Source organism: Homo sapiens, chromosome 6 (assembly GCF_000001405.40).
Source record: "Homo sapiens chromosome 6, GRCh38.p14 Primary Assembly".
In the NCBI taxonomy this organism is placed as follows: Eukaryota; Metazoa; Chordata; class Mammalia; order Primates; family Hominidae; genus Homo; species Homo sapiens.
The window spans coordinates 156,734,393-156,751,033 of NC_000006.12; the positions used below are offsets into that span (position 1 = coordinate 156,734,393).

Genomic DNA, 16,641 nt, shown 5'->3' on the forward strand with positions numbered 1-16,641 from the left:
TCTAGAGAAAGACAAAGAGCTCATCTTGTATACATCCAAACCGATGACCAAGGTTTCAGCCCAGACCTGGAATTCATTGTCAGTGTTTGGCATTTACCACAACCAGTGGAATCAATATTAGTAGGAACCTTTTCTTTATGCAGGACATAATTTGGTACTGTCAAGTCAATCTGGCTACAATTGAATGGAAGTTTTTGTTCTTTAAATGCTGTTTCAAAAACATTTTATTTATATACGATCTCTAGTGAGGTCAAATTCCCCTGTAAATATTATCTAATTTGTTCTCATAACATCTCTAAGTGATAGGATGCATTTGTCTTTATTATTAGCATCTGGTGTTAGGAGATTCACATTTACTTTGTTGGAAATCACCAGGAATAAATCTCATGTAGACACTAATGGAAAATATAATAGGAGATAAATACAGGTATGTCTGCAAATGAAGATATTTTCCCACCTTTGAAATCTGTTGACTAAAAAGATAAAAAGTGGAACAACTTATGATGATTGAATAGTAATAAAAAGCTGCATTTAATCTAAATCTCTCTTTCCTATGATTACAGCGTGCTAAATATTACTCAATACTAGGAAGTCTGCTGATGAGCTATGTAAATGTTTTCCAATAAAATTAAATAGATTAGATTTGGAAAGAGAATGCTAATGTTTTGAAGGCTTTTAGGGAGTCTTCTTTTAAAACTTTTCTGAAAAATATAATTTAAGACCATGTGTCATAGTTTCAATAGTCCCTAGCAGAGTGAATGCCATTGTTCCCGTGTGGGCAGAACAGGCAGAGGCAACCATGATGTTCGAGAAGTTCTTGTCATCTGTGATCCTTTATTGTTAATTCTCTTCATGTATTTTGCCCGCTGCTTTGTTTTGGTTGTCAAAGTTTGTTACTGAGACAAGACTAAGATCATCCTATTCTGACAGTCGCGGATTGACTTGGCATGATGCACCATGAGGTGAGTTTAATTGCTGTTAATATTAGAAGGATGAATAATCCTATTAAAAAATGAACAGTTATAAAAAAATAAATAAGTGGAGGCAAGTCTAGATTACATGAAAGAAAGACAGCTTGATGAGGGGAAACCCATTAACCTGAAAGGAGACAGTTCTTTGCTTCTAATTTAGCAGTTGTGAGCAAGACTGCATTCATACCAAATCAAAATGGAAACAATTTTTCTGTATCATTTATAGACTTAAATATTAAGTGTTCTTATACAAGGAAAAAAAGATCCTACTGTGATTCCTAATTTCTCATAGAATACCAGGATGCCGTGTTAGATGAGTTGACATTGTTTATAAAATACCAGGATGCCATGTTAGATGAGTTGACGTTGTTTATAGAATACCAGGATGCCATGTTAGATGAGTTTTTTCCCCAATCTTGTTCTTAGATATTATTACTGAGTCAAAAGAGGTGACTCTGCGTTAGGTCAAGAGCACAATACTCAACATCAGTGCTTCTCAGACTCGAATGTGCTGTGCATCACTGGGATCTTGATACATTGCAGATTCAGATTCAGAGGCTCTGGGTCAGGGCCTGAGATGCTGTACTGGAGAAGCTCCCAGGAGATTCCCACGCTGCTGATTCATGGCCACTCTTTGAGAAGCCAGGCTTCAGACAACTGTTTTATTTTATTATTTATTTATTTATTTGTTTGTTTGAGACAGGGCTCACTCTGTCGCCCAGGCTGGAGTGCAGTAGCGTAATCTCAGCTCGCTGCAACCTCTGCCTCCCGGGTTCAAGTGATTCTCCCGCCTCGACCTCCCAAGTAGCTGGGATCACAGGTGCCTGCCACCACGCCTGGCTAATTTTTGTATATTTAGTAGAGACGGGGTTTCACCATGTTTGCCAGGCTGATCTCGAACTCCTGACCTCAGGTGATCTATCCTCCTCTGCCTCCCAGAGTGCTGAGATTACAGGTGTGAGCCACTGTGCCCGGCCCAGAGAACTATTTTAAAAAGAACTCAGCCAGGCTTGGTGGCCCACGCCTATAATCCAAGCACTTTGGGAGGCCGAGGTGGACTGATCACAAGGTCAGGAGTTCGAGACCAGCCTGGCCAGCATGGTGAAACTAACAAAATACAAAAAATTAGCCAGACATGGAGGCACGCACCTGTAATCCAGCTGCTTGGGAGGCTGAGGCAGGACAATCACTTGAACCAGGGAGGCAGAGGTTGCAGTGAGCCGAGATCGCACCACTGCATTCCACCCTGGGTGACAGAGCAAGACTCCATCTCAAAAAAAAAAAACAAAAAACAAAAAACAAAAAACAAAACTCTGCACCCACACAGGGTAAGTTGTTTTGTCAAAGTCTGGGATGAGTGAAGACTCACGACCATAGGAGGCATGCCTGGAAGGGCAGACTCTCCAATCTCACAGCCAAATGCCACCTCTGTGCGCTGTGTGACACCTCCTGAGACACTGATGAGTTTCTTTTATCAAAGTCAAATTTGCCCATGCTAGGCTCATTATTTTAGGAAATTGAATGGCATCAATATAACAAAGTATGAACCACTTGTTCTGGAATGGAAATGGAGAGAACAAGGAAATTTAAAGTTTCAAGGACTCCTTTAAGGACAACTAGAAACACCAGGAAGACTGAAGCCAAAATGGAGCAGTCTGGAAAGGCAGGAAGTCTCCTGGTTTCCATCAGAGCTTTATTAGTGGTCTCCTTCAATCCCTTCTTTCCTTCCTTATGGTCACAGTTATTAGATGGCTACAGGAAACATGGGAATATTCTGTCTATATGATAGACAGCACCACTGAAATTCACGATGCCTTAGTAAAAGGAAGCAGTATGCTTCTCCTTCCTCCTCCCACAGACTAAGTTGTTAAGAGAACACAGCAAGGAACACACAGCATGCACATCTCAGCCATTCAGCCTGTGTCCAGGACATGCTATTTATTGGTGGTTACATACTGGTAAGATCACCCGACACCCCCCAGCGTGAAGTCTGGTGTTGTGGGCTCTTGAATGCATTAATCTTAATCAAACTTCAGATAGCTGAATAAGAGGGAGAACATTGAATTACTTTGAATAATTAAGAATGTATTTGAGTCAGGAGAGCTTTAAATGGGAAAAAAATAGGTTTCAGAAACTTGACTGCATGTTAAATACTGTGCATTTGAGTTATCATGACTATCATTGATTACTTCTCTGGTTAAGTGGGTAGGAACAGCATAAACATGAAGCATAGACTTGCTTGAATAGATGATAGGAAAGCAAATGACAGGTGTATGGACAGCAGGTGCATTAAAGGTCCATGAAGGTATCAGTGACTTCGCAGTTATAATACAGCCACAAAGATGAAGACTTTTTTCTTGCTTTTCAACTTACAATTATATATGTATGTGTATGTATATACGCATACATATATAACTTATAATTATATGTGTGTATTATATATGCATGTAAATACATATATATAAAATACATCTATTGTTTCTGAAACCATGAACCACTACATACATCACACTGATGTCCTTAAATCTGGAAAAAAAATCTCTGATGATCGTTTCATGACATTATTGAAGGTTATTTATTCTAAAATTAATTTATTCTTCTACCCACAACATAACCTTTTTTTAAAAAAAGGCTGTGACAAATTTATTAGCTACTAACTCATATAATTTCTTTGGCCTTGCTCTACAAAGACAAATTTACTTCTAGCATGTTAGAAAAATACCTACTACTTCTAGTGCACACAATTAGAAAGCAAACACAGTAGATACACATGACATGGAAAGCCTCCCTTCCTTCTACCAGGTCATGAAAGTGATGGATACAACAAAACAACAAACTCAGACATTGTCTGAAACTGATACCAGACTGGGCCACATATTGAGAGGTCTGAATTTATAATATTTGCTTGGAAACCTAATCCTAAATCCACTGTCTTGGAATAGGACACTAAGCAAATAAATTAACATAAAAATAGATCCAAAGACTTTGAAACCTTTGAATCTGATAGAAGCAAATGCAAAAGAACTCTGTGAGGTTACTTTCAAAACATAGAGGTCAGAAGCTGTATTAATTGGCTAGGGCTGCCATAACAAAATACCATAGACTGGATGGATTAAACAATACAATTTTATTTTATTTATTGTCTCATAATTTTAGAAGTTGGGGAGGCCAAGATCAAGGTATCAGCAGGTTAGATTTCGCCTGAGGACTCATTTCTTGACTTATAGAGGGCACCTCATTGTATCTTCACGTGGCCTTTTCCAGAGCAGACACATCTCTGGTGTCTCTTTCTTTCTTTCTTTCTCTTTCTTTCTTTCTTTCTTTCTGTCTGTCTGTCTGTCTGTCTGTCTGTCTGTCTTTCTTTCTTTTCTGATGGAGTCTCGCTCTGTTGCCCAGGCTGGAGTGCAGTGGCGCAGTCTTGGCTCACTGCAACGTCCACCTCCTGGGTTCAAGTGATTCTTCTGCCTCAGTTTCCTGAGTAGCTGGGACTACAGGCGCACGCCACCACGCCCAGCTAATTTTTGTATTTTTAGTAGAGACGAGGTTTCACCATATTGGCCAGGCTGGTCTCAAACTCCTGACCTCGTGATCCGCCTGCCTCAGCCCCCCAAAGTGCTGGGATTACAGGTGTGAGCCACTGCACCCAGCCTCTCTTTCTCTTTTCATGAGGATACCAGTCACACTGTATTAAGTCCCCACTCTATTTTTTATTTATTTATTTTTCTTTTTGAGATGGAGTCTTGCTCTGTGGCCCAGGCTGGAGTGCAGTGGCGCAATCTCGGCTCACTGCAAGCTCCGCCTCCCGGGTTCACGCCATTCTCCTGCCTCAGCCTCCCGAGTAGCTGGGACTACAGGCGCCCGCCATCACGCCCGGCTATTTTTTTTTGTATTTTTAGTAGAGACGGGGTTTCAGCGTGTTAGCCAGGATGGTCTCGATCTCCTGACCTCGTGATCCGCCCGCCTCGGCCTCCCAAAGTGCTGGGATTACAAGCGTGAGCCACCGCGCCCGGCCTTTTTTTTTTTTTTTGAGATGGAGTTTTGCTCTTGTTTCCCAGGCTAGAGTGCAAGGGCACGATCTCGGCTCATTGCAACCTCCACCTCGCGGGTTCAAGCAATTCTCCTGCCTCAGCCTCCCGAGTAGCTGGGCTTACAGGCATGTACCACCACTCCCGGCTAACTTTGTATTTTTAGTAGAGATAGGGTTTATCCATGTTGGTCAAGCTGGTCTCGAACTCCCGGCCTCAGGTGATCCGCCTGCCTCAGCCTCCCAAAATGGTGGGATTACAGGCGTGAGCCACCATGCCCGGCCCCAGCCCCACTCTTACGACCTCATTTAACCTTAATTACCTCTTTAAAGGCTCTATCTCCAAATCTGATCACATTGAATGTTAGGGCTCTGTACTTTTGTGTTCTCCAAAGAAACAGAACCAACAGAATATATATGTATAAATAATGAGATTTATTTTCATATGTATATGTATATATGGAAAGTGATTTATTGTAAGGCATTGGCTCATGTGATTATGCTGACTGAGAAGTCCCATGATATGCCTTCTGTAAGCTGGAGCCCCAGGAAGGCCAATTGTGTTGTTTAAGGGCTTGAGAGCCACAGAACCAATGGTAAAGATTCCAGCTGAAGTCTAAAAGCCTGAGAACAAGGAGTGTCAAGGGCAGGAGGTTGATATCCCAGCTTAAGCAATCAGGCAGAGAGAGAATTTAACCTTCCTTCATGGTTTTCCTACTGAGTTCCTTAGTGAACTGGATGATGTCCACCTTGGGGACTAAAGTAGATGGGAAGGCCATCTACTTTACTCAGTTCACCAATTCAAATGCTAATCTCTTTTGGAAACACCCTCAGGGACGTGCCAGAAATGATGTTTAACCAACTATCTGGGCATTCCATGGCCCAGTCAAGTTGACATATAAACTTAACCGTCACAGGCTTCAACAGATAAACAGGGTTGTGGAGAGGGACACAGTTCAGTCCATAACAGAAACCTTTCTCTAAAAAACAAATTAAAGCACTGAAGATGAATACAAAACAACCACCACAAAAAATGTTATAAAGTACACAAGGAATGAAACTACCATTAAAAAAAAGTCATTGGAGGCAAAAATAAAGAGAATTAGCACCAAAACAACTACAGATAACAGAACAAAATAAAAAACACTCTGAAGTAGTATGCTTAAAATGAGTAAAGAGATTTTTAAAGAAAGTGAAAACATAATGAAACAATAGGACACTATGAAAATAAAGAGTAGGCAAATTTGAAAAGACATAGAATGTCTAGAAATGAAATTTATAGTCCTGGAAATGTTAATGGATATGTTAAATAGCACATTAGACACATCTAAAGAAAAAATAAGCAAACTGGAAGATATATATGAGGAATTTGCCCATAATGAAGTATGCAAAGAAAGAGAAGAGATTAAAAAGTGGCTCAGAAATAAGGAAGATAAAATGAGAAGGTCCAACATATGTCTAATATGTCTCAAGGAAACACTGGAGAGAGCAGAAAATGGGATGATAATTTTCTGTAATGAAATACAAGAGTCTAAAACGTGAGGAAATACACTGATTCCCAGGCAGGAAAAATAGACAAGTGAAGTATATATCTAATTTGAGAAAAATTCAACAATTTCAATGTTTCCCACAAAAGAAATCTCAATAGACAACACAAAATTGATTACATATAGAACACATTCTCTGGTCATAATGCAGTAAAATTAGAAATTAATAACAAAATGATAGCTGCTTGGAAAATGAAAATGACCATGGTATCAATAAAAAGGGTCTGAAAAAAACACAAACTACATTAAAGCATGAATTGAATCTTTTTAACTATTTTTTCACCCATATATATATATATATATATATATAAATTATATATATTTCTTATATATATATATATATATAAGAAAACAAATTTTTAAGGTACTGTATATGGCATATAGCTGTACCTGATTATTTATAATTCTGGTTTTTTGTTTTTTGTTTTTTGAGATGGAGGCTCGCTCTGTTGGCCAGGCTGGAGTGAAGTGGTGCGATCTTGGCTTGCTGCAACTTCCACCTCCAGGTTCAAATGATTCTCCTGCCTCAGCCTCCACACCATGCCCAGCTAATTTTTGTATATTTGGTAGAGACAGCATTTCACCCTGTTGGTCAGGCTGGTCTCAAACTCCTGACTTCAGGTGATCCACCTGCCTCAGCCTCCCAAAGTGCTAGGATTACAGGCGTGAGCCACTATGCCCAGCCTATAATTCTGGTTTTATAAGCAAATAATTTTCCTTTGCTTCATGGCTATTCCTCAGAGTACTTTGTTAACTTCTGTCTGATTTTGATACTAGAGGACTACATTTTGTTGGTACTTTACAAAGTGCTTTTGCATACATTCCTGTCATCCTCTAATTTCCCCCTCTTGGTGATGTAAATGAGAGATGCATTTATGACATCCTTAACTTAACTAGAATGCAAATCACTTAGCAATATGCAAATGAATGAATACTGCTAGAGTCAGAAATTTCTTGTAAGTGATTTTTACTTCCTGTTACAGCATATAGAGACTTCATTCAAGTATGCCCAGTGAGTACAGACTTACAGTGGAAAATTACTGACATTAAGGATTGAAGAGCTTGAAGACAGTATTCTCCCACTAGTATTAAGTATTAGATACACAATATAATAGATTTGTTAATTGATTTAAGAAAAGAACAGTCTGAATAATCCTAAGATATTTAATAATAAAATGTAACAGAAACATTGTATATAGAAAAACATTGTTTCCTTTAAAAATGTGACAGTGCCCAGGCACGGTGGCTCACACCTGTAATCTTAGTACTTTGGGAGGCTGAGAAGGGAGAATCACTTGATGCCAGGCCAGTTCAAGACCAGCCTGGTCAACATGATGAGACTTATCTCTCCAAATTTTTTTTAAAAAATTAACCAGGCGGCTGGGCACAGTGGCTCACACCTGTAATCCTAGCACTTTGGGAGGCCGAGGCAGGCAGATCACTGGAGGCCAGGAGTTCAAGACCAGCCTGGTCAACATGAGGAAACCCCATCTCTACTAAAAATACAAAAATTAGCCAGGTGTGGTAACGTGCACCTATAGTCCCAGCTACTCCGGAGGCTGAGGCAGGAGAATTGCTTGAACCCAGAGGGCAGAGGTTGCAGTGAGCAGAGATCGCGCCACTTCACTCCAGCCTAGGAAAAAGGGTGAAACTCCATCTCAAAAAAAAAAAAAAAAAAATTAACCAGGCGTGGTGGCACACTTCTGTAGTCTCAGCTAGTCAGGAGCTAAGGCCAGAGGATCCCTTGAGCCTGGGAGTTCAAAGTTACAGTGAGCTATGATTGCACCACTGCACTCCAAATTTTGATGTTAAGACCTTCTACTAAGGATTATGTTCATGTCATTTCTTTAATAAATAACCCATAGTGAGCTGGGCGCGTTGGCTCACACCTGTAATTCCAGCACTTTGGGAGGCCAAGGCGGGTGGATCACTTGAGGTCAGGAGTTTGAGACCAGCCTGGTCAACATGGTGAAACCCCTTCTCTACTAAAAATACGAATAATTAGCTGGGCGTGGTGGCGAGCTTTTGTAATCCCAGCTACTCGGGAGGCTGAGACGGAAGAATTGTTTGAACCCAGGAGGCAGAGGCTGCAGTGAGTCGAGATCGTGCCACTGCACTCCAGCCTGGGCGACAGAGCGAGACTCTGTCTCAAAAAAATAAACAAATAAATAAATAAATAAAATAACCCATAGAGGTCTGCTTGGGGAATATTTTCATTTCTGAACGTGTCTGTAGTGAACTTTGGTTGATACTCCAGACAAGCAGGCAGCTGTGTCAGGAAACGTTGCATAGGCCTGCTAGGATTCACAAGCCCAGGCGTAACCAAATGGCAAAGCATTGAACAAATAATTCTGACAGTTTTTAGTGCTGATTTTTTGTTATGTTACTGACGTGTCTGCTGTCCTTTTTATCTATGTTGAGCTGAATATTTCTGCCTGGAGACAACCTTGACATAAACTCTTTCTATTCACTGGCTTCCCCAAGAAATCCAATCAGTTCAATATCCTTAAAGATTTACTGAAGGCTGATGATGGCATCACAAGGGGTTACATCTCACACTGTGCAAACTTTCACCTCCAGGCCTGTTGAACATTTCTTACTTTATCCTTTCTCCCAGGTCCCCAGGCATCAGGAGTCACCTTTTCTGGGACACTCACCAGCACAGCCTCACTGCACTCTTATTCCTCCAGGACTTTCTCCAAGGGGAACTTGTCACCTGCCCTTCGGCCCTGCACTATTAGGAGAGTAATTCAGTCATCCAGCCTAATTTTCTTATTTTATCACGGCATCCTGTAAACTGAAGGCTCTCCAGCTACAAGAATGTATCCTCAGAGAGCAATGAGGGCTACAACCAACAATCATTCTGTTACATAAACAAAAAATTCTTTATTAAACTACCAGTACTGACATTTCCCCCCAAACCATCTTTGCCTTATAAATAAATCAAAATGTAAAATGGAGTAACTTTTAAAGAAATACAATAATCTAATAACAGATTGGTTACATTCCCAATCTGTTAGTATATCTTGACTAAAACTTGGATTTATTTTGGGGTAAATAAAAACTTCAGCATTAAATCCCTTCAGATTTGGGGCTTCTGAGTAGTTTCCAAGCTTGGTGAATATCTAAGGATTTTAGAACATCCTGATATGTCTTTACTCAGATTCCAAATGCTTTTTAATTTAGCTGTTATCTAAGTTAATCTCAAGAGGTGGCCAATAGATATTTGTTTAATAAATGAAAAGATCTGTATATGTTATCACCTCCAGATAATCCTTATATCAAAAGTTTGCCTAACTTCTGATATGTTTACTTTTTTAAATTTAGTCAAAACCAAAATACATTGATCTCCCTTGACCAAAAAAAGAAGAAAAAATAAATATTAATAAAATAACATCATACATTATAATAAATCTACTTTGCAATGTTAAAATAATGTATTAAGTAGCCTTACTTCACTTGTATTTAAATATAAACTGAATATGCAGGCCAAGCACAGTGGCTCACGACTGTAATGTCAGCACTTTGGGAGGCCGAGGCGAGCAGATCACTTGAGATTGGGAGTTCAAGACCAGCCTGGCCGACACAGTGAATCCTCATCTCTACTAAAAATACAAAAATTAGCCGGGTGTGGTGGTGGGTGCCTGTAATCCCAGCTACTCAGGAGGCTGAGGCAGGAGAATTGCTTGAACCCGGGAGGCAGAGGTTGCAGCGAGCTGAGATTGTGCCATTGCACTCCAGCCTGGGGGACAGAGCAAGACTCCATCTGAAAAAAAAAGAAAAAAATAAATAAACTAAAAATGCTAGCCTAGCAACGTATTACTTTCTCTGTAATATATTTAATTATATTTGATTTTAATTTAGTTACTTTATTACTATGACTGCAATTGTCTAGCCTGTTTGGTTTGAGGAATTATTTATTTCTTAAATTAGTCCACTAATTACCTAATTAATGGTTTTAAAAAAAATAAGCCATTGAGCATCTAAAACAATTTGGAACCTGAAACAGTGGTTTGTAAACATAGTTAAATAGTTACTTCCATATAAAATCCTAGACTCATAAGTTCATAGAATTTTAGGGGTTAAATCATAGAATGATGTGATTCTCAGAGATTTAGAAAAATTAAAGAATTTCATTTCACATAAACCAGCATTTAGTATTTAGGCTATTTCATCCAGCATTATTGTCACTAATTTTCCTACTCAAACTGTTTCAGAGATAAGACTTTTGTGAGCATTAGTTAAGTCAAGGTGAAGACATAGCTGCTGATAAACTGTGTGTACAGTGATCTGAGTCTTTGGCAATGACCTTCCTATAGAATTGTGTATGGAATCTAATGGTGATTAACTTTTAAGTCAAACTTTGGTGCCCTCAAAAAATACAACATTTCAGAAGATATGTGAGATAATTTGGAAAAGAGGATGTGAGTAAAGAGGGAATTTGGAATATGTCCTCTAAAGAGGACATTGCCATAGAAATGATAAAGAAAAAAATTGGCAAAGTAATTAAGAACAAAGTTCTGAGCAAAGCTTGAAATCTCCATGAATGTTCTATGTCTTATATTCTTAATTTATTTTATTCTAAAGGTTTCATGAGACATGAAGATGGTCATCGTTATTCTTTGACTTTTCATTGTTCTTTCCGAATTTTTTTCTTCTTTCTGAATATAAATCTATCTTGGAGGTAATGACTATGTATTAAAGTTACATCAAACAACTATTTTAAGATTACATCAAATAGAAGAATGCATTTTCTTTGGAAAAATTGATTAAATCCAGTTTCTGTAATGAAAGATTTAAATAGGAATGATTTTAAATCAAATTTCTCCTGGATAAGGAGTCTACTGATAAAACTAGGACTATTCTTTTAAATGGATTATTTATTATACATTCTTGAGAAAACATTTTTTATTTGTATGACAAGGTGTTAATTTCCTTAATATCCAAATGTTCTTACACATTAATTAAAAGGTAAACAAGTCAATTTAAAAATAATAGATAGTTTTGTTTGTAGGGAAAAAAACCTGACCAATAAAAATATGCAAAGTTCAAACTCATTTATAATTGAAGATATGAAAATTTCTAAAATTGAGAAATGAATTTTCCTCTTTCATATTGCCAGTGATGAAAACATTTGTTGCAAGTGGGAAATCTGCCCTCTCTGGTACCATTACTAGGAGTGCAAGTTGATAAAACCTCCTTCCAGAGCAATTTGGCAGGATGTATTAAACGTTAACCTATAAATTTTACTTTTAAATTGAAATAACACATCTTTTGATCTTCCAGTTCCATTTAGAAATTTATCCTATGGTTTTTTACACATGAACAAGCATAATCATCACATTGGTTTTTTTTTTTTTTTTGAAATGGAATTTCACTCTTGTCGCCCAGGCTGGAGTACAATGGGGTGATCTCAGCTCACTACAACCTCTGCCTCCCAGGTTCAAGCAATTCTCCTGTCTCAGCCTCCTGAGTAGCTGGGATTACAGGTGTCCATCACCACGCTGGGCTAATTTTTGTATTTTTAGTGGAGATGGGGTTTCACCATGTTGGTCAGGCTGATCTTGAACTCCTGACCTCAAGTGATCTGCCCACCTCAGCCTCCCAAGTGCTGGGATTACAGGCATGAGCCACCGCACCCAGCAACATTGTTTTGTAAATAACCAAAACCCAGCTGAAGGTCCAGCAGTCAGGATCTCGTGTCTTCTATGTCACGGATATCTCTGCTTAAAGGGAGGAGATGGAGCTATATGTACTGGTAGAGAAAGATGTCCAAGATAAATTGTTTTGTGCAAAAAAAAGCAAGCTGGAAAACAATATATAATATAACCCTATTTGTCTAAAATAAATAAATGTTTTACTGAGGAGTTGAAGAGTGAGAAGTACTTTTGCTTTATACATTGTTCTATCACATACCATTTCTTTTCTTTTTTTCTGGTTTTGTGGTTGTTGTTGTTCTGTTGGGTTTCTTTGTTTGCTTGTTTGTTGCCATAAGCATGTATAATTTTTTATATAATTTATAGCTTATGGTGAAAGTCATTTTTACCTAGATTCAATATTTGGTTTCAATGTCTCTCAGTCTTCTGGGAACCACAATATATGCGCTTTTAGGAACTAGAGTAGGAATATTATCAGTCCCTTTTTTTTTTTTCATTTCTCCCCCGTGGCATTCCTGGTGGAGAGGCTCTTGTTTAACACTTGACTAAAGAGAGAAAGATGCCTCTGAGGTCAGAGAGGATGCTCAGAAAATTAGCATCACTGGGTCTGAGGGCCAAAGTGGGCTTTAAAAACAAAAGTTAAATGTGCTTTTATTAAAAGAAAAAAAAAAACCCTACACTTACATGCAGCACTTTTTTATTTCCTCTCATACAGTCTCACTTAACAGCCATTAATTACAAGTAAGGGAAGGCAGAGAGGAATTAATGGCACAAAAAGAAACGAACATTTTTAAGCTCTCTTTTGTGGGGTAGACCTATTTCCAAATAACTCTTCCAATTCTAAAAAGCAGCAACAACAAGAACCCAAAGTATTTTGCTTCACATCATGTAGATGTCAGTTATATGGTGAGAAAAAAATAAAATATTCATGCTACAGGAGAGTGGCTTTTGCAGACTGAAAAGCAACTGTGATGCACTTAGAAATGCTTATTTCAATGAGATTTTCTGCTATCAGTCTCAGTACATTGAAAGAAATAAAACAGCAGAGAAATAGGTTGTCCCAATAGCTGTTTTATTTATTCCTCTTATTTTCCTATTTGATCAAATTTTCTTGCAAACTCCTTTGTAGATTAAAGTTTATTTTAGTAGGCAATACCTTGGTTAAAGCTGCTTTGCAATAAGGAGGAGGATGGATTAAACTGCCCTCTTCCTAATTGCTTTGTGAAGCCTTCCTCTCTCCCTAATCTCACTGTAGTTTCTTAAGAAATGAGGCACTTACATATCCCAAGGGCTTAAACGGAGATTTCTGCTGCAGCGGGTAAAGTAGGGAGTTTGCTGCATTAATCATTGAGTAACATCAATCACGCATCCACTTGGGCAGTTAAATTTCTGTTGAACAAAGTACAGAAGTACCTGGGGTATGTCTCCCCCTCTTTATAAGTGGTGTCATTAGACATCTGTTGTGAAGACTGTAAAAATAGATTTCAGATGCAAACAATGTCATTTTAATGCTAACACAGTGCTAGGCACATAGTGAGTAATATTCTATGAAAAGTATTGAGTAAATAAATTAAATTCCATATTAAAGTATTGCACCAATTCCCTAACCAGACTATTAACTACCTCCTTACTCCAAATTTGTCCATTGCAGCAGGAATATCTTTTTTAAGCATCATTTCTATTTCAGACTCATTTTTAGAAGACACAATAGGTCTAAATTTTTGCTCACATAAAACCTATATTGATGTTTCATCTTGAAAGGTTTTCTAGCAATTGGTTTCCTTCTCCCTCATTCCTCTTTTAAAAGATAATTGTATATTCACATGATCTTTGCTAGCCTAGAGCACATGCGAATTTGCTTCGTGATTTGCTTTCTCTAATCCAAATGCCATTTCTGCCATCTGCAATGCCTTTCACCATCTCCTTTACCACTCCAGATCAATCCCATTCTGCTCTTATTGTCACTTGTCCTCTCAGCCAACTTTGCAGAATTCAAGTACAGAACAGTGTATTTATAGTAATAAAGTATGGGGAGTTTTATTTCTGTTTTACTTGACTTTATGTCAACCCCCTAGAGCTTCATTATCTTTTGTGGAATGTAAGCATAGTGAAGGCAAAGGCCGCTTTTATGACTTTCTCATTCTCAACAAAATGATTGACATGTACAAGAGACTTCATGACTTAATTTCAAGGGTCTGCTAACATCTCAGCAAAAAGATCAAAGTGACTTCATTTGAAAATAAGAAGAAATATGATATTAAATATTAATGGGAAGAGTCAATAATAAAAAGTGTTAAATATTTGCAAATGAGTCCAAAAGTATAATGAAATTCAAATCAAAGTCTCAATTGTGGTGGATTTATGTGTTTTTGTTTGTTTTGTTGGAACATTAAAAGCATTCTAAAGGCCAGGCACAGTGACTCATGTCTGTAATCCAGTAGCTTTAGGAGACTGAGGTACAGGGCTCTCTTGAGGCCAAGAGTTCAAGACCAGCCTGGGCAACATAGTGAGACCCTGTCTCTACAAAAAATTTAAAAATTAGCCAAACAAAGTGCCATGCACCTGTAGTACTAGTTGCTCAGGAGGCTGAAGCAGGAGGATTGCTTGAGCACAGAAGCTCAAGGCTGCAGTGAGTTATGATGTTGTCATTGCACTCCAGCCTAACTTACAAAGCAAGATCCTGTCTCTAAAATATTCAATAAAACAAAACAAAATTACTCTAAAACTCATCTTAAATGGTGAACTTGTATTTATTTATGGAAAAGAATCTTTTAAAAATTTTATCAGGAAGAATATACCGTATCAGTTATTATACACTATTCAAAAGCTAGAATAATTAAAGCAATGGAATTGGTAGAAAAATAGATGTATAGATCAACATCGCATAACTGAGAATTAAAAATGATCCATGGACATAAGAGAATTTAGGTTTTTCTACAGAGAGCATTTTGTATCAGGAAATAAAGGATGACATATTCAATAAAGGTTGAGACATTTGGTTAACCGTTTGGAGGAGGAAAAATTTAGATTCCTACCATATAACAAAACAAATACTAAATGGATTAACAATATCAAAGTAAGTAAAATAAAAACAAGACAACAAATAAAAGTACTAGTGGATTGTAGGCTTTTTTTTTTTTTTTTTTTTTTTTTTTTTTGTCGCTCAGGCTGGAGTGCAGTGGCGCGATCTCTGCTCACTGCAAGCTCCGCCTCCTGGGTTCACGCCATTCTCCTGCCTCAGCCTCCGGAGTAGCTGGGACTACAGGCTTCTGCCACCACGCCCAGCTAATTTTTTTGTATTTTTAGTAGAGACGGGGTTTCACTGTGTTAGCCAGGATGGTCTGGATCTCCTGACCTTGCGATCCGTCTGCCTCGGTCTCCCAAAGTGCTGGGATTACAGGCGTGAGCCACCGCGCCCAGCCGACGTTGGTTTTATAGTACGATCTCGTCATCTTTTATTTATCGATCGAATTGCCTTTTCATATAGTTTACCCATCTATATATCTATGTAAGTATCTATTTTGAAGTGCTTTTGGTTTCTAGAATGATAGAATTTCTTTTTTTTTTTCTTCTTTCTTTTTTTTTTTTTTTTTTTTTTTGAGACTAGTCTGGCTCTGTCGCCCAGGCTGGAGTGCAGTGGCGCGATCTGGGCTCACTGCAAGCTCCGCCTCCCGGGTTCGCGCCATTCTCCGGCCTCAGCCTCCCGAGTAGCTGGAACTACAGGCGCCCGCCACCACGCCCGGCTAATTTTTGTATTTTTAGTGGAGACGGAGTTTCGCCATGTTGGTCAGGCTGGTCTCAAACTCGTGACCTCATGATCTGCCCGCCTCGGCCTCCCAAAGTGCTGGGATTAGAGGCGTGAGCCACTGCGCCTGGCTAAAATGATAGAATTTCTAAACTATTTTTTTGGTTTTTACATTTCTGACTACATTGCATTGTATGTAATATGAAGTGTGCTCTGTAGGAAGTGAATACGTTGGTATTTGGGTTTTGTTCGTTCGTTTGTTTGTTTGTTTGCTTGTTTGTTTTGAGACAGGGTCTCACTTTGCCGCCCAGGCTGGAGTGCGGTGGGACGATCTCAGCTTACTGCAGCCTCAACCTCTCAGGCTCAAGTGATCCTCCAGCCTCAGCCTTCTGAGTAGCTGAGACTACAGGCCCGCACCACCACACCCGGCTAATGTTTTTGCATTTTTTGTAGACATAGGGTTTTTACCATGTTGTCCAAGCTGGTTTTGAACTCCTGAGCTCAAACGATCTGCCAGCCTTGGTCTCCCAAAATGCTGGGATTACAGGTGTGCACTACTGTGCCTGGCCTGCTTGTATTTGTTGATGTATTTGTTGTGTCTAGACTGTGGTCACTCTACTAATTATCTGTTTCCTCTAATTATTGGGGGCAGGATTCTGTATATGTCCACTAGAATGTGCTTATTAATTGTGTTGTT

General features: G+C 38.7%; 1 annotated feature.

Annotated features, from left to right (window-relative positions):
- Positions 15,109-15,309: a silencer, noted in NCBI's record as "peak6246 fragment used in MPRA reporter construct". NCBI's record gives its function as "represses an SCP1 promoter by STARR-seq MPRAs in K562 erythroleukemia cells {active_cell/tissue: K562}" and the evidence as "EXISTENCE:reporter gene assay evidence [ECO:0000049][PMID:32103011]".